This window comes from Homo sapiens, chromosome 14 (assembly GCF_000001405.40).
Source record: "Homo sapiens chromosome 14, GRCh38.p14 Primary Assembly".
NCBI classification, from domain to species: Eukaryota; Metazoa; Chordata; class Mammalia; order Primates; family Hominidae; genus Homo; species Homo sapiens.
Genome location: NC_000014.9, coordinates 79,514,245 through 79,539,342, shown reverse-complemented (window position 1 = coordinate 79,539,342; position 25,098 = coordinate 79,514,245). Strand labels below are relative to the sequence as shown.

General features: G+C 37.6%; 1 protein-coding gene across 56 annotated transcripts in view, besides 1 other annotated feature; it reads right to left on the bottom strand.

The window, feature by feature from the left end:
• Window positions 1–25,098, bottom strand: part of NRXN3 (neurexin 3) — a 1,697,919-nt gene that overhangs the window by 328,949 nt on the left and 1,343,872 nt on the right. The window lies entirely within an intron of this gene.
• Window positions 22,925–23,565: an enhancer, noted in NCBI's record as "NANOG hESC enhancer chr14:79982121-79982761 (GRCh37/hg19 assembly coordinates)". NCBI's record gives its function as "activates a minimal SCP1, AML or CMV promoter by ChIP-STARR-seq in naive H9 embryonic stem cells {active_cell/tissue: H9 hESC(naive)}" and the evidence as "EXISTENCE:reporter gene assay evidence [ECO:0000049][PMID:30033119]".

Sequence of the window (25,098 nt, the reverse complement as noted above, 5' to 3'; positions counted from 1 at the left end):
CTAGGTTTAAAATCTGTCTTGAGCGGGGCACCTGTAGTCCCAGCACTTTGGGAGGCCCAGGTGGGTGGATGATTTGAGGTCAGGAGTTCAAGACCAACCTGGCCAACGTGGTGAAACCCAGTCTCTGCTAAAAATACAAAAAAAAAATTAGCCAGGTGTGGTGGTGCATGCCTGTAATTGCACCATTACTGGGAGGTGGAGGTTGCAGTGAGCCAAGATCGTGCCACTGCACTCCAGGCTGGGTGACAGAGCAAGACTCCATCTCAAAACCAACCAACCAACAAACAAAACCTGTCTCGATCACTTTATAGCTGGATGATCTTAGGTAGGTTATTTAATCTCTCAGTGTCTCAGATTCATCAACTGTAAAATAGGGATAAGTTCACAGGGTCACTTTATAAACAAAAATGAATAATTGCATGTTAAATGCTTTAAAAATGCTTGACTTAGAAATAATGAATGAGAAGCATATAAGCATTGACAGAGGAATTCGACATTATAAGTAATGTGATTTCATCCTAACACTGTCCTTCAGGAATTCCCCCCATTTTACAGAAGGAGGGACTGACACTCAGACCAAATAACCTACCCAGAGTAACAGTGTTAAAAGTGGCTGCGATTGGCAAACTAAACTATCATCACAGTGAACAGGCAACCTAGAGAATGGGAGAAAAATGTTGCAAACTATCCATCTGACAGAGGTCTAATATCCAGAATCTACAAGGAACGTAAACAAATTCACAAGAAAAAAACAAACCACCCCATTAAGAAGTGGGGAAACGATTCCCTATTTAATAAATGGTGCTGGGAAAACTGGCTAGCCATATGTAGAAAGCTGAAACTGGATCCCTTCCTTACACCTTATACAAAAATTAATTCAAGATATTCAAGATGGATTAAAGACTTAAATGTTAGACCTGAAACCATAAAAACCCTAGAAGAAAACCTAGGCAATACCATTCAGGACATAGGCATGGGCAAGGACTTCATGTCTAAAACACAAAAAGCAATGGCAACAAAAGCCAAAACTAACAAATGGGATCTAATTAAACTAAAGAGCTTCTGCACAGCAAAAGAAACTACCATCAGAGTGAACAAGCAACCTACAAAATGGGAGAAAATTTCTGTAATCTACTCATCTGACAAAGGGCTAATATCCAGAATCTACAATGAACTCAAACAAATTTACAAGAAAAAAACAAACAACCCCATCAAAAAGTGGGCAAAGGATATGAACAGACACTTCTCAAAAGAAGACATTTATGCAGCTGAAAGACACATGAAAAAATGCTCATCATCACCGGCCATCAGAGAAATGCAAATCAAAACCACAATGAGACACCATCTCATACCAGTTAGAATGGTAATCATTAAAAAGTTAGGAAACAACAGGTGCTGGAGAGGATGTGGAGAAATAGGAACACTTTGACACTGTTGGTGGGACTGTAAACTAGTTCAACCATTGTGGAAGTCAGTGTGGCGATTCCTCAGGGATCTTGAACTAGAAATACCATTTGACCCAGCAATCCCATTAGTGGGTATATACCCAAAGGATTATAAATCATGGTGCTATAAAGACACATGCACACATATGTTTATTGCGGCACTATTCACAATAGCAAAGACTTGGAACCAACCCAAATGTCCAACAATGATAGACTGGATTAAGAAAATGTGGCACATATACACCATGGAATACTATGCAGCCATAGAAAATGATGAGTTCATGTCCTTTGTAGGGACATGGATGAAGCTGGAAACCATCATTCTCAGCAAACTATTGCAAGGACAAAAAAACCAAACACTGCATGTTGTCACTCATAGGTGGGAATTGAACAATGAGAACACATGGGCACAGGAAGGGGAACATCACACACCGGGGCCTGTTGTGGGGTGCAGGGAGGGGGAGGGATAGCATTAGGAGATATACCTAATGTTAAATGACAAGTTAATGGGTGCAGCACACCAACATGGCACATGTATACATATGTAACTAACCTGCACGTTGGGCACATGTACCCTAAAGCTTAAAGTATAATAAAAAAAAAAGTGGGCAAAGGACACGAACAGACACTTCTCAAAAGAAAACATTTATGCAGCCGACAAACATGAAAAAAAGCTCAACAACATCACTGATCATTAGAGAAATGAAAATCAAAACCACAATGAGACTCCATCTCATGACAGTCAGAATGGTGATTATTAAAAAGTCAAGAAACAACAGATGCTAGTGAGGCTGTGGAGAAGTAGGAATGCTTTTACACTGTTGGTGGGAATGTAAATTAGTTCAAACATTATGGAAAACAGTGTGGCAATTCCTCAAAGATCTAGAACCAGAAATACCATTAGACCCAGCAATCCTATTACAAGATGTATACCCAAAGGAACATAAATCATTCTGTTATAAGGATACATGCACACATATGTTCATTGGAGCACTATTCACAACAGCAAAGACACAGAATCAACCTAAATGCCCATCAATGATAGACTGGACAAAGACAATGTGGTATATAGATACCATGGAATACTATGCAGCCATTAAAAGCAATAAGATCATGTCCTTTTCAGGGACATGGAGGGAGCTGGAAGCCATTATCCTCAGCAAACTAATGCAGGAATAGAAAACCAAACACTGCATATTCTCACTTATAAGTGGGAGCTGAACAATGAGAACACATGGACACAGAGAGGGGAACAAAACTCACTGGGGCCTGCTGGGGAGTAGAAGGAGAGAGAGCATCAGGATAAATAGTTAATGCATGCAGGGCTTAATACTTAGGTGATGGGTTGATAGGTACTGCAAACCACCATGGAATGCATTTACCTACGAAATAAACCTTCACATCCTGCACATGTATCCTGGAACTTAAATTAAAAAAAAAATAATTAATAAAAAAAGGGAATATTAAAAAAAAAATGTTGTGACCAGATGTAAATCTGAGTTCCCTTGGCTCCAAAACCAATCTCTTTTCATGATTCTGCTCTGACTCCATGATTTTCACTCATCCTCCCCAGAGCTAAAATCAACAAGTTTTTGCAAGGTGCAATGATGTAATCATGGATCACACGTACTTATGGTTTTCCATGCTCTGTGTACTCCTCTTTCTTCATTTTATTCCTCCTCCCTTTCCATATAGAGTCCAACATATGGCATGATTCTAGGAGAGACCATAAATGGATCCTACATTTCTTTCTTTTTGTTCTCTAAAGTTCAACTCTTCAGGCAACCACCTCTGGGGAAAGATGTCACAAAAGTAAAACACACCATCCTCTCATCAAACACATTTCAGCAAAGCTGGTTGAGCTTCTGCTCATTTGGAGAGCACAAGGGTCACCATATGCAGCAGATGGCTGTGTTGAAGGTATCTTATTCCACCTATAATCCCACTGGGCTCTCGATAGCACTCCAACACGTAACTGAATACAGAATGCCTATCCTGGATACACACATATATCTTTGATAGCCTTGTTATAGGGGCAAACCCAACTCAACACAGTAAACCTGCCTTAGAAGGCTCTGTTGTGTCCTGGAGAGACCAGAAGTTCCTAGTCAGACAAACCTAGGGTGTGTTAAATCCTTGGCATCATCACTTAGTAGCTGTTCAATTTTACCTCCGTGAGCTTCAGTTTCCTCAAGTGATACTGATGGATACCTTTCACCACATGATTGCTCTGAGGGTTAAAGATGATAAAGTATATAGAATGCCTGGTATATAGCATGTGCTCAATGTATAACAGGTATTAATATAATTTATTACAAAAAGGTAGAATGCCTGCTACTGGAAATCCAAAATAAATGTTCCTATACCAATTGGAGAGAGGAGAGAAAAAAAATAAACAAAACTTAAAAATAAGAAAAGAAAAGCTTCCTCCCATCCTCAAAGCAGAAAGCACAAACCTTTTACTCTGGAGGTTTCAATAATGAATTTCTATTTTAATTGATGCTGCAACCGATCCATGCTTTGCACTCACAACACACTCATTCTCCCGGTGATGCTACGCGGGAAGAAGCTTTTAAATCAGTCAGCGAGCATAATGAACTCCAATTTTTCTTTGACAAGGGCAAAATTACAAACATGCTTTCACTTTCAGACAATTAATTAATTTGTTTACACAATTTCTTTGCTTTGTTTTATTTCATAATTCTTTCCACTTGCCTAATCTCTAGGGTTTATTATTAACTTCTTCAGGTGTTCCTCCAGGATACAGCAGAACGTAATTTAAGGGGCACTCTTAGCCTTAATGAATTTCAGATCAGGAATGAAGGAATAAAAGAGACCTCAAAAATAGCTCTAGAAGACACTTTTGACAGTTTCCACAGGTATCTATTACATTCTTTCTTTAAATGTAAGGTTGCCTGTTGTGGTACACTTCTACTACCAATGTTTAGAAAGAGACCAATGCTTTTAACAGGATGTCAGACCACAGGAAAATTCATGGTGTGACGCATGCGCAGCAACTTGAATGTGCCTTATAAAATCCCAGGTTTTTCATCTTCTGGTGTTCCAGGACATTTCCTGATTCATTGTCATACAAATTGTGTTTTTGCCCAGATGATCATTGCCACGTTTCTATTATGTACTCATATCTCCAGGTTTTCAATTGCAAACAAGTCACTCTTGGCAGGCAGGGTCTTTTCATAATTTTTTTTTTCTGGTTTGTTTTTTGTCTTTTTTGTTTTTTAAACCTTGCCATGTTTTTGATTGGTTTGGGGCTCTCCCATGAATCTGTTTTTAAACTCTGAATAGAATTCACATATGTTCCCCTAGGAGAGTTTTGTTTTAAAGGGCTAACACAAACAGCTATGCAAATTTCTGATCTTTGTGTTAAGTCATTCAAATAGAATTTAGAGAGGCTATGTTCGAACATTCGTTTATTTGTTCTATAGATATAGTGCCTCCTCTAGGCCAGACACTGTGTTGGATGCTTTAGATATAAAACCTCTTTTAATATATTAAGTTGATGGGATTATCAGTCTTAGAACTCTTGTGCCCTCAGTCCCCTTACAACGAAGGAACAAGAGATAGCTCTTTATACAAAAACACCATATTTTGTACCATATCATGTCCCAGTCTTGGCCATAAATTGGGCAGCTAAACCAAGTATACCAATAGACATTCATGCCGATGGCTAGAGAGGTGGAATAAACCAGTGGTCTTCTCCAAGATTCAAAGTTTTCACCTGTAGTTTGACACAACTGTACTAGAACAATCTCTAAGCTCTTTTCCAGCTCCAACAGGCCACATTTCGAGATTGTTTCTGATTTTTTCCAAGGAAGAAGGAAAAGAATGGGAAGAAGAATCCAAGAGTCTCCAATTCTAGACTTTCGCCTTAGAGAAAAAAGTGTATTCAAAGTTAAGGAGTACATTTGCAAATTAAGTGCATTAGATCTTAATTGCTACAAGTTGTTATCAATTACTATTAATTACTATAGAGCATTAAGTAAGCTGAGCGTTTTTACTTGAGCTGTTTCCTTAGCTCTGGTTACTGAGAATGGATTCTGATCATCTATCCATTCTTTTGCCTCTTTTTAACATGTGCAGTCCTTACTATTCATAGAATGGCCAAATTATTTTACTATCAATAATTGTGATTATTATTGTCGATGCAACAAAGTGATTTGTGGGGCAAGGAAGTTTATGCAATTTTGAACCTTACCCCAGACAATCAATATGCCAAAATTTTTTGAATAGAACATGGGTTTACTGGGACGATTTTTATTGTTTTTCAGACACCAAAATGCTCTTACATGGATATGGAATCACCTGTCAAATTAAAGAGGTGGGGACAGAGCAGATGATGTTTTTTAGGAGATAACAGCATAATTTTCACTACCAAAAAAGGGATCTGAGCTGTGTCAAAGTAAGCTCTTAAAACCCCAAATCACACCTCTTGTACATAACTGTCGGTAGTCAAAAAGCTGTTTTCTTTGAAGTAATTTTTGGCACTGGGGTAGAAGATGACACTTTGCACTGAATGAAACAAAAATATCAAGCTGAGAACTTCACCTTCATCCTATTAAAAGGAGACAGCAGACTCCACTGTTTAAGAGCCCAGGCAGGGTTGGACTGCTTGCTTTAACATGAGTTCTGCCATTAACTAGCCATGCATCATGAGAAAGCTCCTTAAGGTCTCTCTCAGTTTTCTCATCTGTAAAATGGGTATAAAAACAATATCATTTCATAAGAATTTTGAAAAACTAATGAGTAAATATATGTTAAATATGGTACATGGCATAAACACTTGATAAGAAATTATTAAAATCTAGTTTTTTTGTGATGCAGGTAAATATTGGGCTTACTCAATTGAAATACCCCATACTTCAATAGAGTTCAGTTACAAATTTTCAAGTTTCCTCTTTATATCATAACCTTTGGGAATAGAATTTAGGTTCCTAATTGGAAAGATTTTGAGGGTTGCTAGGAAATCTTCTCCTATGCCAACAAATAGTCCTCCAAAAGAAGACATATTGAGAAGCTCAGAAGTGCCTCAAGTGACATTTATTTATTAATTTGACAACTATTTTATTTGCTGAAGATGTCAGTCATTTCAACAGTTCCTTCTCAGTTTTATGTGAAAATAATAACTCGTTTGAGGCAGGACTTGGAGGAGAGTGGAGAAATGAGTATGGGGAAAGAAGATCTGGAGTGTAGGGGTGGTTATATTGGTGCCTGATACAAAGACCTATGGTACTTCTCTAACTTTTTCGCATCATGGAACACATCGAAAATGATATTATTTGCATGGTCCACAGAGTAAGCCGTCGTAACAACTGAAGATGACTCATCCAGAGGCTCTGGCCTCCTACTTCAGCAAACCACCCCTAGGCTGAGGGGCCTGTTATCTCAGCCCACTGTGTCTCATGCTGACTTTTACTGGTTAGGAAACTAGCTTTTGAAGCCTTTGTGAAGGTCCAACTATGGGGCTCCATGAAAGAAAACTTTAGTATTTCTCAATTTCCTCTCAGAGTAGCATAGTGCTTTTGTAACTTACATTTTTTAAATATCAAAATTAATTATCTATTTATATATGAAATTTAATTATCAGTGGAAAGCTTAACATGTTGCAATAGTCAGGATAGGTATCATAGATAAGTATCTGTAACTTACATAAAGACATACACACGTGTTCATTTCTTGCTCCATATATGCTATAAATGCTAATGTGGGTTGGCACTCTATCTCCATCTTATTCAAGTCCCTTTAGAACACAAGATTTTCAGAACATTGAGAAGAGAAGGCAGGGAAAGAGAGTGGTATAGAAAAGGTGCAAATGACTATAAACTGCCTCAGCCCAGAAATGACACTTTTCACCCCTGATCACGGAACATTGCTCAGAATTTCCTCCAAATCTAACAGCAATAAAGGTGAAGGATATAGAGGGACACATGGATGATTGACGAGAATAATTTCTGCTCACTCCCCTTGATTAACGTACTCTCAATTTTTAGATCATATGTTATGTCTATTACCTTAGTAACTTCAGTTGCTTTTCTCTTAGCAAATTAAATCTCAAGCCAACAGAGATTCAACAGGTGTCCAATAAGTGTAAAATATCATAGGATAAATATATCTAGTTACTTCTGCTCCCAAATAGTATTAAACTGGATATCATGGTCCGAACCCATCTCACAGCTATAGTGAGGCATCCTTAGTGGTTTTATTGATGATACTAAAGATCATGACCTAGACATACACTATCTTATAATTTTCTTAATACTGATTCATATTGCTTTTTCTCTGACCTTATTGGTATTTGCCAAACCTGAACATAACATTTTCTGCGAAATGTCATCAATGTTTGGCTTTTCCCATAAGCATGCTTTATAAAATTAACGTACTCTAAAAATCTCATAACACTATCCCTATTCACCTTTTCCATACCTGGATACTGTGCCATGTCATATTATTCTACTATTAACAGGTATATATCTCAATGTTCTACCCTTCATTAAGTTGATTTAGATTAATTTTGCAAGATGAAAAATAAGCAAATGCTTTAAATGAAGCTCAAATCCAAAGCAACAAACTCCACGTCCTCCATGGAACAAAATGCTTCTGTGGATCAAATATCTAGACTTCTTAGAGATCACATGGGGCAGTCATATCTGTACTTTCTACAAAGCTTAAAAACTAGGGTATGAGCATAGCATTAGCTAAACGGAAGCAATGGGACTTTCCTACTTCAAAGAGGATTGGGAAGGAGGATGAGTACAGCTAATTAAGCTGGTATTTAAATACAATTGCAGTAAATGGGACTAGAGGGTTGAATTCTTATCTATCTAAATTCTCAATCCAAATGTGAGGACACTGCAACACTTCTGCTGGGAGATAAAAGGAAATGGGGCTCTGAGATCAAAAACATTAATGAAGACATTTCTTCATGTTTCCGTGAGATAAACAATAAATTCTAAGGACAAGTCATTTCAAGAGTGTCAACTTTGGTTTGTGTTATTTCTATATTTTCCATCAATTCAAGAAAAAGGGAGCACAACAAATGGTTTGATAATGCTGTACCTATTCATCCCATTTTCCATTCTAAAAAGAGTTCCAGCAAAGAACTTTTTGTTTACAGGTATTAAAACTGCTGACTCTGTACAAGAGGAAGTGGCAATCCCATTTCCCCCTCCTTGGTTTCCCACTAATTTTATTTGTCTTATTTCTTTTCTTCAATCACAGCTAAAATTTTGACAGTCTACTTAAAAAATAAATAAGATAGAGACAAAAGAAAAAGGAAAAAAAAAAAACAAAAAACCTCTTTTTCTTCAAATCCAAACAGAGAGAGCAGAGAAAACAAGCACAGAGAGAAAGCTGAACTGCCCATATAGAGATGGTACAGAAAACATTTCCTTCTCCATCTTTGTCCGGGGGGCATCTGAAGCATCTTTCATAGTCTCCTGTGTTCATTCATGCCTGTGTACCCATCCCCATAGCCACCCCTCCACTCATACCCCAGGACATATGTATAATTAAAATTTTTTAAATTTTGATTTAAATAAAAACAATCCCAAGTTATATAGAGTGTCATTTTGCTTTGCTTTTTGTTGTCATTTAAATCCTCACTTTAAATGTGACTATGTGCACGCTGCTGCTTGTCCTACACTGGCCTAATAATTATACTAAAGCTCTCCCAGCACATGATTATAGGTGGGGACTCTGGGCAAATGTCTGTGAGTTTGGAGATTTGCAATCATTTCTGTAACACTCAGAGGTGCTAATAAAACTAACTCAGGGACCTCCTAAACATGTTACTTTTAAGGTATGTTCAAGATGTTTTTAGGTATTTCCAGATATTTCCTCCTCCTACCTCCATTCTGGACTACAGAAAATAAACATGAAAGTACAATTTCAAAGCAAAATGGGATCAACAGAGTGAATATAAGTAATTCAAAACCAAACAATGAATTACTTGGAGTTCGGTTTGTTCAAACCATGAGAATGAACATAGGCTGGCAGTTTTCGACTTTGCTTGGCATGATTCTGCAAGCTGACAAATTACCTTCATTTTTATTTGATTTGACTAAAGATTCAGTGGGATGAAAACTGACTCAAATACACACATCCATCAAAATTCTCTCTCTAGACCTCATTCCACTTTACATCCTTTTCTACAAATATTTAACAACAAAATTTCAGAGAGATAACTTTATTTTTCTAGTAAAGTCTAAATGAATTTACATATTTTAAAGATTTTTGGAGTTTCAAAGTTTATTTTTAATGTGTTTCACACACTTGAAAAATTGCTATTTCTGGTAAGACATGTGTTTTAATACTCAGTTAAGTACATGACTTAGCCATATTTTCTCTTTTCTCACATATGTGGTGAGGGAAGAGAGAGACCCTCTCATATTGTTTTATATTGTTTTATACTCAGTACCTGTTTTAAGAAAAAACAACAAGGAAGTAAAATCAAAGACAGGCAGCCCGGCGCCAGGCCCGAAACCAGGCCTGGGCCTGCCTGGCCTAAACCCAGTAGCTAAAAATCAACTCATAACTTAGAAACCGATGTTACTCATAGATTCCAGACATTGTATAGAAGAACATTTTGAAACTCCCTGCCCTGTTCTGTTTCTCTCTGACCACCGGTGCATGCAGCCCCTGTCACGTACCGCCTGCTTGCTCAAATCAATCACCACCCTTTCACGTGAAATCTTTAGTGTTGTGAGCCATTAAAAGGGACAGAAATTGTGCACTCAGAGAGCTCGGATTTTGAGAGAGTAGCTGGCCCATACTCCCAGCTGAATAAAGCCCTTCCTTTTACAATTTGGTGTCTGAGAGGTTTCGTCTGCGGCTCGTCCTGCTACAGCGGGAGAATGGTCCTCTGGTAAGCGCTGTGCTAGTCACTTAACATACATGTCCCCATTGTCAGCTTTCTAAAGAGAAGACCGAGACATACATATTAACTTGTTCAGGATGTGATCATTAATGAGAGATGAAGCTGGGATTTAAACCAAGATCTGTGTGAAACCAAATCATACTTTTTCAGTATGCTGCACTTCACTCTTCGATGACTGAGCTTATTATATCGCATATTAAGCTGAAGAAGAAAACAAAATCATCCATTTTTTCCATGACAAAAGGCACATCATGTTTAGGAAATGCTATCTGTAATATCTTTGGTCCACTTGTTTGCTAAATAATTTTCTAGTCTTAGAAATAAAAAAAAACTACTTTTTTTTTTTACCATACACATTTTAGAACATAATGTTAAACAAACAAACAAAAAGAATCAAAATTACCTGTAATCTCACTACTCACTGTTCACATTTGAATATACTGTATATACATATATATACACACACATATATCATTCCAGTATTTATTTGATGCAAACATACTCACATAGAGATGTGACTAAATTGATCTTGTATAACTTACTCTACTTTTTGCTCTGTGTTTTACAAACATCTGTTGATGTAATTCAACAGTAAACCTAAAATAGTATTAAATATTCTTCTAAAATATTAGATTGAAGTATGTGATGGTGTTTATAACATCAAAAAGTTTAATCTTATCTCCCTTTACCTCTCACACAAGAACATGATAATAGTAACAACTGTTATCAAGTACAGCTATGATGAATATCTGTGCTAACCGCTTGAGTGTACTGTAATCAATCTGATATTATTGGGCACTTATCTTCTTTTCAAATAAGAATGTTCACAAGAAACTATAATAAACATCTCTGGAACTAAATCTTTACCTACTTTCATGACTATTTCCATAGGATGAATACCCCAAAATGGAACCTTTTGGTTAAATACGTAAATAGTCTAACAGTTTTTCATCTGTCTCCTAAATCCCCTACTAGGGAGACTATAGCAATTGCTAACCCCATCAACCCCATCAGCAAGATATAGAAATAAATGCTTGCCTGGGTTGCTGCCAATGATAGGTTTTATCTGTTACTACTACTACTCCTGCTACTACTGCCATTACTTTTTTCTTTCTTTTTTTTTTTTTTTTTTTGGCGAAGGAGTCTCATTCTGTCGCCCAGGCTGGAGTACAGTGGCACAAACTCGGCTCACTGCAACCTCTGCCTCCCGGGTTGAAGCGATTCTCCTGCCTCAACCTCCCAAGTAGCTGGGACTACAGGTGCACCACCACGCCCAGCTAATTTTTGTATTTTTAGTAGAGACGGGGTTTCACCATGTTGGCCAGGCTGGGCTTGAACTCCTGAACTCAAGTGATCCTCCCACCTTGGCCCCCCAAAGTGCTGGGATTACAGGCATGAGCCACCATGCCTGGCCACTATTTTAAATTCTTTCTAACATGATAAGCAAAAAAGGAAAATTTTAAACTACCTTTCTAACATTATTTACTTTCCCTATATAATTGATTGTTCATAACAGCGTAATATTTTTTATCTTCCCTGACCCTAGTATTTCTTCCATGCTTTTTCTTCTGCTTAAGAGACCACTTTCCATCCACAATCTCCTCATCATTTTGGGATCCTCTAGAAAGCCTCTTCTAACCACCATCTCTAACCCGCCACACTACTCTTCCTTAAATCCTAAAGCAGTCTTTTTTTTTTTTTTTTTTTTTTTGAGACAGAGTCTCACTCTGTCGCCCAGGCTGGAGTGCAGTGGCTCCATCTCAGCTCACTGCAACCTCTGCCACCCCGGTTCAAATGATTCTCCTGCCTCAGCCTCCCGAGTAGCTAGGATTACAGGCTTCTGCCACCATGCCCGGCTAATTTTTGTATTTTTAGTAGAGACGGGGTTTCACCATGTTTGCCAGGCTGGTCTCGAACTCCTGAGAGTTTTGACAGGGTGATCCACCTGCCTCAGCCTCCCAAACTGCTGGGATTACAGGCGTGAGCCACTGTGCCTGGCCAGCAGTTATTCTTGTTACTACTACTTAGATAATTAACTTTGTATTGCCTTGGGGCATCTCTGGGTTCTGTTATGTTTTGCTGTCTTAAACTGTGGCTTAATTTTGAGTAATTTAACTCCTGCTACCCTCCCAGGAGGCTTTTCTTTTTTTGTATTTTGTAACACACACACCTAGTAGATATAGTGGAGTGGCTTGCATTTAAATTCCAATAAGTGTCTCTCACGTTCGTTTCTTTCCCAGCGTTTCTAGCTGTACATTGTTACATACACTTATTTCCTTGTTTATTATCTCTCTCCCTCATTAGAGTCTAAACTCTAGGACAGCAGGTATACTGTGTCTGCAAAATTGAGTGTCTGGCTCTGTATCTGGCACACGGTATGCAGCTAATAAATATTTGATGTTGGTTGAATTGGCGGAACATATAAATTCACCATGGGAAATATTCTCCTCCTCAATTCTAATGAATACATGATTAGGAGCAAACTTCTTAGGACTAGATGAGGCCAGTGCTAACATTGTATAGGATTAAAAAATGTTAGCCACATGCTTTGGGAAACCTACACAGGAGAATCACTTGAGGCCAGGAGCTTGAGACCAGGCTGGGCAATATATCAAGATCACATCTCTGCAAAAAAATTTTTTTAAATTAGGTGGATATGGGGCCAGGTGGCAGCTCACACTTGTAATCGCAGCACTTTGGGAGGCCAAGGCAGGCAGATCACCTGAGGTTGCGAGGTTGAGACCAGCCTGACCAACATGAAGAAACCCCGTCTCTACTAAAAATACAAAATTAGCTGGGCGTGGTGGCACATGCCTGTAATCCCAGCTACTCGGGAGGCTGAGGCAGGAGAATTGCTTGAACCCAGGAGGTGGAGGTTGCAGTGAGCCGAGATCACGCCATTGCACTCCAGCCTGGGCAACAAAAGCAAAACTCCGTCTCAAAAAAAGAAAAAAAATTAGGTGGGTATGGTGGCATGTGCCTGTGGTCCTAACTACTCTGGAGGCGGAGTTGAGAGGATCCCTTGAGCCCAGGGGTCAGAAGCTGCAGTGAGCTATGATTGTGCCACTGCACTCCAGCCTGAGCAACAGAGTGAGACCCTGTCCCTAAATAAATAAATAAAAAGGTAGAAAGCTCCTAATAACCCTGCACAATTCCCTGCCCCAAATGAGAATCATATGCCAACTGTAGTCTGTTAACCCAGCACCTCTTGCTAGCATTATGTTGACTTAAAACATTTATAGTGAACATAAGACAGAGATTTAAGGCAATAAAACTTAATGTTAATGATGGGAATCTAGCAGTCAACACTACTTCACAAATCAAGTGCAATGCTAAAAGGAAAATGAATACCACGCAATGAAAACAGAACACTTACAAGCTGACCAGGAAGAGCCCTTCAGTGATATGCAAAGAGTATATTTTAATCTGAGCTGACTGATTCATTTGTGGGGAATAGTTGTGACTGCATTTATTTTATGGCTGCCAGCATTAATAGGTTTGCAGCTAAAAGGAAAACTATGTTTCTAGAGTGTTCGATTTCCAGAAGAATAGAGTGGAATTCATTAAATGACATACGGATTGCAGGAAATTCTGATCATGAGTTGGAGATTTGTGCCCTCCATGCAGGTGGGGAATTAGAAGTGGAATTTTTTAAGTCTTGCATTGGAACTAGCACCAATAATTAAATGGATGTATAAATAAAAGGAACATTTGTTAGAAGGTCTTTAAAAAATATACCTGGAAACCCTCGAGGTGGTGTTGGGGCTCAGTAAACAATACCCCAAAATGAAGGCCTCAGAAGCAAAAGTTTTTCTGACCTTCCCCTGCCCTCCTGTTTCTCAGTCCCATTCTTCCCCAATGCTAGCCATAGAAACTAGGATCCCTCTTCCTCAAAGCTAGTCATAAGACCTAAAAATATTACTCCAATTTCCCTCTGCCTTTCTGTGTAAAAACTGACCACGCAGAAACTGCCTGACTACCTTGTTTGATTATAGGTCATAAGACCCCCATTTCAGAAAAAGTTTTGCCCCCTACCCAGAAAAAAAGGAATGTGGGCTCAGAGAGGCCAAGAAGAGTCTACACGGCCAGGCCTCGCTGGGTTTTCTGCCTCAGTCCATTACCATTAGATCATACCCTTTTTGTCCAATCATATTTCTACACAGATGTCCACACTTGGTTGAACCTAAGCATAAAAATGAACAATTTCTCCTGTATCTTTGGGTCTTCATTTTGAAGGCTCCTGTGTATACACATTAAATAAATGTGTACACTTTTTCTCTGATCAATTTGCATTTTGCAAGTTGATTTTTCAGAGAATCTTTGGAAGGCCAAGGGAAAAACTCTCCTTTGGTCCCTACAGTGATATCCAGAATAATTCTGGGGAGAATATTGTCAAAGTAAATCCTACTGCCTGTTTGCAGTGGAATCCATTTTGACAATATTATCCCCAGAATTATTTTTTGTTGGTTATAATTATGAATATGATCTTTGATTTCTTTATTGTCGATCATCATATCCTTTGTCCAGAACCATTTCAGGTACCTGTGAAGTATATAACAAAAGTGTAAAATGGAGGTCTTCATGCCTCAGGGGATTTGTTTTTTTACTTAGAGAAGTAAGGTCCACTTAGAAAAAGTTTTCCACCTGACAATCTGGTTATTAGTAAAAACAGAGCTTGCTGGAGGCAAAGATTGTATAGTTCTGGAGAAAAGGCCTCAAGCTTCACTGGTTGTCTTAGAAATTTAGAAGAAAAGACAACCATGAGGTTATCCCCCCTCTAGTTCCTTCTTCCATTGCAAACACAAAGCAAGTCCACTGCCAAGGTCCACTGGAAACATCCCACATCCTGTTTTCTCCTTAGATCTCTGCCTTTGTTTGCTGAAGGTCGCAGGCATGCAGGTAAGACCTGACCTCTCCTCCGCAAGATAGTTTTGTCAAGGATGTTCTCATTACCGATTATTTAGATGTGCAGCTAAACAGGGTATGCTTCCTATCCAGTCTCAGTATCAGTAATATCAGAATAGAAAAAGCTCCTACAGCAACTGGACACTTTGAAACTTCAGGGCACAAGGATGTGAACCTGACACTTGAGTTCAAATGACACCACCGTAGTGGAAGGGTCTTCCACTTTAAAGAAATATGAAAGAAGAGGATAATGAGATTCCTAAGCCCAGGAAATGCCATTGTAATCTGGCTATTAATCTGCTCTGGGTCTAAAACAGATTCTTGTGAAGTTACATACTTATACAACCACCTTAGTCCCTAAATCTCAACTCCGCCTTGAGCCTTCATTACCCAAATCAGGTTGCAAATGATTTGAATTCTGATGTCTGTATAATGTCTCTCTCCTTTTTTTTCCTTCCATTTTGACAAAAATAAAGCAGTTCCTGAAATGACAAATGGCAGCAGGGCTTTGCATGTGCAGAATCAGCTGTCGATCTCAGATCCTGAGCAGTGAGTGCCATTTTTTTCTTTAGTGGAGGTGGAAGGGAAGCATTTTACTTATACAGTAATTGGAACAGATTTTTTTTCCATCACTACATTTTCAGGGAATTGGCTGTTAGACAGCATGGTGGACAGAATCAATTAACATCTTCAAAACAAAGCTTGCCTCATCTCTTTTGTATATAAACATGGCAAAATCAAGCTGAGACCCCATTAAAGCTTTGCTCCTTTAGGTAACAGCTCTCATCATGAGAAAGAAGAAATTCTTATCTGTTAGGATGCAACATATTTTCATTTTGTACTTACTGAAGATAGCTGCATTTGGGGTTTTAAGAACCATGTGGCTACCTGAAATTGCATTAAAGAGATGGCCAAAAATCAGGAAAAAAAAATCTCTTAATTTCAAAGTTTAACCAATGTTAGTCCACCAAGTTCGCACACAGTGTAAATGAGTATGTTTTTCATCTCCAGCCTTCAGTGGAAATTCCACAACCCAGTTTATTTTAGAAGTGGCCTGTAATGCTATTCAGCTAGGAAAGAGAGAAAGCAACCAAGCAAGTAAGCAAGAAAACAAGCCAAAAAAAAGAATTGAGAAGGGAGTTGGTTATCTGATAGTCACTGTTTCTGTGATAGAATGTAAATTTGCCTGTAAAGACCTATTTTGCATATAGCTGACTGAAGATGAAAGAGCAACAAGTGGTATTTAACATGGCAGTTTTTTACATATATAGTGTTTGATAAAGAGTTGTGCTCCGAAACTAGTTAACTATGGCAGCTCCCACCTGAATGAAGTATGGAAGGTCCCCAAAAAGTAGCTTGAAACTGCGAGATCACAGAAAACTCCCCATGGAACAGCTAAGGAAGGAAATGTTTTAGAACTATAGTGAATATCAGCTAGATTTGTAAAGGTTTCCATGGGATCCTTGGAAGAAAGACAGTTCACAGATTACAGAGGTACAAGACTATATACCCAAGAACTGTAATTCTTTATTTTTTCTTTTTTAAAAGAGTCAGACTAAGATATCCTTAAGTCTTGCTATCTCCTGCTACATTGGAAGGTAGTTAGAAATATGGCCCTAGCATAAAATGAATTCCATTATTATTTCATAAATGTATTTACTCTCCTACATAAGAAATTCTGGGTCTGTACTGTAACAGCAGAGATGAGGACTCAAAGGCTCCTTGGAAGAGAAAGCTCATATACCCCTGTGCACCCCTCTTAATATGAACAGTTACAACCGGATATCCCTTTCTTGCTTCATACCACTCTGCAGTTTAGATTATTGTCCTGGAAGCAATCCAGACTCCTCGGTCTGTCAAGTTCTTCTTGCTCTATCCCCTCCTACTTCTCCAGTGTCAACTTGTGTCTACCTTTTCCCCTGTGCATTACAGTCATCCAACTACCTGTTCCACAGAAGTACCATGATTTTTTTCAATTCCATTGATTCTGCCTGGAACCATTTCCTCTGTCTATGTTTCTGTGACGATCATCCATTAGAGATTAAACATAGACAATGCCTCTTCAAGAAAGGCTTCTCTGACTCACCAGGACTGTATTAATAAGTTTATAGAAACATCCTCCCAACAAAAAGCAAAATATGACCCAACATTTTATATCCAGCCAAACTATACTCAATGATAGTTTACAAATGGTATTTACCTTCAGGAACACTGGGAATATTGAGGAAACTACTAGGAAATGACTTTGATCAACCAAAACATAATTAGAATAACTATGACAATGAAATTGAAGGTAAGCACAGAGTATAGTTTTTAAAGAAGAACTATGTCTAACCTAATGGGAATAATATGCTGAAGACCAGAATGAAAATGGAATAAACCCTGACAATACAGAAGTAATACAACTAAAAATAGTTAGAAGAGGACAGAAAGTAGGAAGTAAATTATCTGATTGCTAGGAGTCAAAGGATAATATATAAAGTATCAACTCAATTAATTTTAATACATGCATGTTTTTTTCTGTATTAAATATTAAGAAAGATGATTCACTGCTCATAGTAAAGAGCTAGTGCATATTCCTTAAAGTGACATTTCCCAATATTTTTCAAATGATAGGTCAAAAAGCAAATAATATATTTGTCGAGACTGAGAGGAGAAGACAAGATTGTTCATGGCCAGAGGGTCTATCCAAAAGCCCTGAGTGTGGTATATTGGATGAGAAGCTCTGGTTTAAATATATTGAGCACTAAAAATATAATACATTATAACTGTAAAAATGACAAGGGAGAAAATGCAAACTCTTAAATAGCAAAACATACATATAGACATGCATAGAACACATTACAAACAAGCAAACAAACAAAATAAGAAAAAGAGAAACTATATGATAAAGTAACAGGAGAGGACCAGGAACAAATATATCTATCACATAATTAGATATAAACTGGCTTAATATACCTATTAAAAGACAAAGACTTTCAACTTTTACAATAGATCACAAAGCAGAACCAACTTTGTGCTATGAACAAGAGACTTGCTTTAAAAAACAACTCATTATCCAGTCTATCATTGATGGGCATTTGGGTTGGTTCCAAGTCTTTGCTATTGTAAACAGTGCTGCAATAAACATACATGTGCATGTGTCTTTATAGTAGAATAATTTATAATCCTTTGGGTATATACCCAGTAATGGCATTGCTGGGTCAAATGGTATTTCTTGTTCTAGATCCTTGAGGAATCGCCACACTGTTTTCCACAATGGTTGAACTAATTTACACTCCCACCAAAGTGTAAAAGCATTCCTACTTCTCCACATCCTCTCCAGCATCTGCTGTTTCCTGACTTTTCGATGACTGTCATTCTAACTTGCATGAGATGGTATCTCATTGTGGTTTTGATTTGCATTTCTCTAATGACCAGTGATAAAGAAAATGTGGCACATATACAACATGGAATACTATGCAGGCATAAAAAAGGATGAGTTCATGTCCTTTGCAGGGACATGGATGAAGCTGGAAACCATCATTCTCAGCAAACTAACACAGGAACAGAAACTAAACACTGCATGTTCTCATAAGTGGGAGTTGAACAATGAGAACACATGGAACAGGGAGGGGAACATCATACACTGGGGACTGTCAGAGGGTAGAGGGCTAGGGGAGGGACAGCATTAGGTGAAATACCTAATGTAGATGACAGGTTGATGGGTGCAGCAAACCACCATGGCAGGTGTATACCTATGTAACAAACCTGTATGTTCTGCACAAGTATCCCAGAACTTAAAGTATAATTAAAATAAATAAGTAAATAAATAAAACAATTAAATTTGTTAATCACGTTGAAAATAAGAGGTTCAACCAAGGCATGCCGGAAGAATGCAAACAAAAATAAATCAGCGATAGGGATCTTAAAATCAGAGAAAGTGGTATTCAGGTTTTAAATAATTGAGAAAAGACCTTTTTGTTTAAAATGTTAAAAGATGAAATTCGCAATGAAGGTGTCAGAATTATAACTAGTTATGAACCAAATGAAATAAAAATAACATTCAAAAAACAGAAAACTTAAGAGTTATCTGAAGAAACATTCAGCCAAAAAACAGAAATAAGACACTTTAAATCATCTTGCTTATTCAATGATAGATGAAGTAGTCAAAAGTAAGACTATAATTGACCTAAATAGCATAATTTATAAGGTATATCAAACAGTACACTTAAAGACTTATGCATTGAAAATTAAAAAAATCTTTTTAAGAATCCACATGATAATCACAAATGTAACTGTATGCAGTCCAAAAAGAAAACTGCAACTTTTTCAAAAAAAAAAAAAAAAAAGAAATACTATTGTACACATTTTCTGATCACAGTGTAATAACTAGATGTTAACAACAAGATCGGAAACAGAATCCCATTCCAATCAGAAATTTTAAAACTCTCTCTTAATTCTTGGGTCGAATGTAATACAGCCCATTTTGCAGGTTTCCTAGAACAATAAAAATGTAAAAGCACTCATATTCTATAATCTATGGGAAACAGGAAAAGCCATGCTTAGAGGAAATCTTTGGTCTTACATATTTATATTGACAGGAGAAAATAACAAAATCAATTCAATATTTTTAATACAAAATTTTTAAACAAACATAAAATATGTTTAAGAAAAACATAAAGGGCCAATTCATATAGGGAAAAGGAGAATTTAATATTCTAGGAAATGCAAAAGTGGTAAAATTAATATATTTAAAGTTTCTGTTACAAAAAAATTAAAAAGGGTAAACATTAGATTATCTCATCATGAAAAAGAGGAAGAAAATTGCAGATACATAAAATTTAAAAATAGTAAGTGGAAAATAAGCACAGAAAAATGACAAAAATAGTCTTGGCTAACTCTGTGCAAATATATATGAAAACTTGGGAGATAGAGAATATCCTAGAAAAGTGTAATTGCCTAAAAATAATTCTAAAGGGGATACATATTCAAAACCTATTCATTTCCATTGATGAAATGGAGGAAGTTGTCTGTCACCTGAGCCACCCTTAGAAAAAGAAAGCACGAGGCCCAGAAAAGGTCACAGATAAATCATTCCAAGCTTTTAAAGAGTAGAGAATTTTAATGCCAAGTTAATTGTTCTGTGGCATAGAAAAAGAAAATAATTAAATTGTTTACAAGGATCTAGTTCTATATTATAAAGAATACTCAATGCTAACGGGATTTAACTTGAGAATGTAAGGACCAGACCATTCAGTGTTAAGAAACCATAGGGATGTATATGTTTGCAAAAGCCAGGCTCATAATGATTGTGGAAACATCAGAATCACTCTTACTAAAGTCAGTAACGAGGCTAAAGTATCCACAATATCATTACTATATTATTAGATAGGATTATTATCTAATGCAATTAAACAAGAGAAATTGGAGATATAAAACTGGAAAGAGAGTGATAAAATTATGTTTAGATGATATGACTGAGCACCTGGAGTTCTCAGAAGAAACAACTGAAAATGATTACTATTAACAAGAAGATTCTGTAAGGAAGCAGGATGCAGAATTAGTATGCCTTAATTCATGATCTTCATGTATATATACACACACAGCTCATTAGTAGAAGTAATAACAGAAAAGAACCATTCATAATTAGGTACAGAGAAGAAAAAACTTTTAGAGATAAACCTAACAAAATATGAGACATATGAAATTATATAAAATAAAATTTAAGCAAAAGGAGAGACAGATCATGTCACTAAATAGAAAGACACATATAGGTCATAGAAGTTATAGCTCTCCTTAATTTGTAAATTAACATTATCTAATTTATATATACATATGCTAACATATACAAATTATTAAAAGAAACTGCTTATATACTCTAATGCTTCTATAAAAAAATATAAAAGAAAAGTGGGCTGGGTGCCGTGGCTCACGCCTGTAATCCCAACACTTTGGGAGGCTGAAGCGGGTGGATCACATGAGGTCAGGAGTTTGAGACCTGCCTGACCAACATGATGAAACCCTGTCTCTGCTAAAATGCAAAAATTAGCCAGGTGTGGTGGCGCTTGCCTGTAATCCCAGCTACTCAGCAGGCTGAGGCAGGAAAATTGCTTGAACCCAGGAGGTGGAGGTTGCAGTGAACCGAGATCGCACCACTGTACTCCAGCCTGGATGACAAACTGAGACACTGTCTCAAAAAAAAAAAAAAAAAAAAAAAAAAAGGAAAGTCAGGAAAACTCTGAAAGAAAAAGTAATAAGGGAGAATTAGCCCTTTTAGATTCTGAAATCTATTGTACAGGTTTCAGAATTGAAAAATGTGCACTGACAGACCAATACAGCAGAATAAAAGTGCAGAAATGAATTTAAAATATCATAACAGAGGCTTAAATGGGAAATGATGACTTATAGAAACATAGTTATTGAAATAATTGGGTAGCCACCTGAAAAAAAATATTAAATTTGTATCAATACCTCACGTCCTCTACAGGAATACATTAAAAATTATGAAAATGAATAATATAAAGCAAAACATGGTAGTGCTAAGAGAAAACCATGAAGAATTACTTTACCACTCTAGAATATGAAGTCCTCCCTTCTAATTAAGTGTCGAAATAAGGATGCCATAAAAGAAAAGTCTGATAACTTCAACATTATAAAATCTAAAAGCTCAGGGGCAAAAGCTGTAAGGAAAATCAAAAGGCAAACAAAAAACTAGGGGAGGAAAAGGATATTTGCATCCCATATCATGGAGATTAGTCTCTCTAGTAGAAATCAATTAAAAACAAAAGCAGCAAACTACTACAAAAGTGGTCAAAAAATATCAATAGAAAGTTCATACAAACGATTTCTAAAAAGTTCCTAAACATATAAACAGATGTACAATCTCACTCATCATAAGAAAAAGAAAATAAAACTACACTGAAATTCCATTTTCACATACCAGATGGACAAATTTCTAAAAGTGTGACCACAGTCTCTATTGGTGAGGTGTGGGGAAGCGCTCCCATTCGTTGAGGGGGGGGGGGCTGTACATTTGTGTAATACTTCTCAAGGACAATTTGGCAATCCTTCTATCTATTGAAATTACAAATGCATATACCTCCTAGAAGTCATTCTACTTCTGAGATTGTATTCAACACATACTCTCAAACATGCGTAAAAAATGAAACATATTTGAGGTTACCTGCAGTATTATTTGTAACTGCAAACAGTAAAGGAACAGTTAAGTAAATAAGGCATGTTCATTCAATGAAATATGACAGAGCTGTAAAAAAAAAGAATTTCTCTTTGTTCTGATACGGTAAGGCAGCTGTGATATATTAAAAGAGAAGAAAAGCGAGATGCAGAATTATATATACAGTATGTTGTTATTTGTTTAGTAGGTGGGACTATGAGAATATGAGACTATACACTTTCCTTTGCTTGTACATATATCAGAAAACTCTAGAATCACACAAAAAGAATAACTGGTTTCTTGAGTAGATGAAGAACAGAAATGAGAGGCAGCATTAATTTTTTTTGCAATCATCTTATTATCTATTCAAAAATTTAAAAAGCACACTGAATTTAAAAACTAGAAATCTCCCATCATAATAGCCAGGAGAGAAAATTGTAAAAATGCAACATTCCCCAGATGAAAACACATCTGTGCATCCAGTGTCTCATACCTTGCAGCTTTCTGAACACTCCTGCTAGTTGAGCAGCCAGTGACAATTTTTAAATCATATTTACAAACTCTCTTGTGACTGGAGAGCATCTGAGTCCAGTGTCTGCCCCAGGCAGTGATTGAGGTCACCTGGAAAACAGGCAGCATTAACTCTGCTGCAAGCTGGGGGCCTTCTAATTCAAGTGGCTTATTGCCATTTGCTCTAACTCTGGTACCCTGCTTGCCTTTGCGCTGTTTAGGGCAGGCCAGCTGGCTCAGCCTCCTCATGGAAATCAACATTCATTAGATGGAGCGCTAATGACTTTAATTGATCTGCAAAGACCTAAGCTTTGTAGTGCCCCAGAGGAAAAGAGCCAGAGCTGTGGCTCACTGGAGTCCTAAGGCATCTGTAAATTCAAATAAGTCTCTCTTTCTCTAGGGGCAGTTTAGCTTGAAAGGTCACAGCCTACAAGGCCCTTTCCCTGTTGGCTCTCCTTTTACTCTTAGCCAAGCTTCCTTTAGCCCAAATGCGTGCTTTGAGTTTGTGGGCCCTGATTTAAGCACATAAATCCCCCAGAAGGGAAAGAAGCCACCTCTTTAGATAGCATATGTATTTTATGCCACGCTAAACACTGCTACCCACTTCCTGCCATAGTTTTCCCCAATGAATCAATGCAGAATTGCTCACTTATCTGTCAAGGTGTCATTATCTATTAATGGGGGAAAGAGACTTTTTCCCCCTCATACTTGGCACACTACAGAATTATGGAGGTTTAATTCCATAAAGTAAAACAAAATCAAAATAAGAAGAAAAAGAAGAAAAGGAAGGGAGAGGAAGAGGAAGACAGGAAGGCGGGAGGAGGAGAAATGAAAACAAGGCTAAGGGGTATGCACATGTAAGAAACTACTCTTTATGACTGGGGACTGTGATGATCACTGTGATGTGCCATCTTCCTTTGCTAAAGTTCTAGTCGCCCTGCCTCCTTGGAATACTGTCAACAGATGCCCTGAGCTGCCAGCCTCTTCAGGGTTAGACTAAGCTGCAGTGACCTTTCTTGCTCAAGGTTGATGCCCTGCTCTCTTCCTGAAATGACCCCATCCACTGAGTCATCATCGTGGGAACACAAATAAAATTCTGGCCTCCTCAGCCCAACTCTGGACAATTCTGAAGAGCTATTTTAGCTCCAGAGCTGCTGGTGAGGTTCGCTGGGTTGCCTGTGGCAGTCCACCTTTTCCCTATGCCTCATCTGCTTTCTTTCCCTACTTTTCACAGGTATTGATCTCAAAGGCACACCTTAATAAACATCCTGCATGCTAAACTTAGCCCACAGGTCTGCTTCTCAGGGAGCCCTCCCTGTAACAGGCACCAGTGTGTCATTTTTACATTTAACTCCCTCAATCCTCTGAGGCTCTGCCACAGATAGTATCTCTCTTTCTTTTTTGAATGAGGAAACAAAGACTGAAGGAGTTAAATAATTCTGCCTAGAGTGTGCAGTGAGTCAGCTGTGGAACTAAGATTTAACCCTGCAAATATGTGACTAACACTTAACTTACTGCACCCTAGCACATTACCCCCTAGACAGAATCGGTGAGAGAAAACGCATCATTCCAACACTTTTTAAAGAGAAGCAGTCATTTGACTTCCACATACCACACAGTGACCTCAGTTTTGATCCCTGGTAGGGAGCAGCAGGATTCACATTGCCTGAAGCTTCTATTGTGCTGACTCTCCTATAGCCATCTGACCAGGTGAGCCATGGTTCTAGCTTAGCACCCATGATAAAATTATTTAACCTGAAAGTTGTGATGCACGTAATCACTCCTGATTCTTTAAAATTAAAATTGATTAAATTCATATATTAACAGAATGGTCAATGAATCCTCAACATGATGCACCCATCTCTACACAAGAAAAGTTTAGGGTTAAGGGTTACTACCATGAAGAAGTTGATGGAGATGTTCGAGGTATTTCTTTCTCTGAGGAAGCATCTGCTGTAGAGCAGGATCAGGTAATAATGGGAGGAAAGAAGCAGAGACCAATGATGTTACTTTTGCAGGACTAAGTTGAGGAAAATGGCAAGCAGAAATTATTCTGCTTGCTGCTGTGAACTGAGAGGACAGCGAAATTCTATAATCTTTTAGAGAGAGGCTTGAATTTTAGGCCAGTACTGAACTCTAAAATGCTGCTTTGTTTTTCTACTGCCCCAAGAACGAAAATGAATAAAATT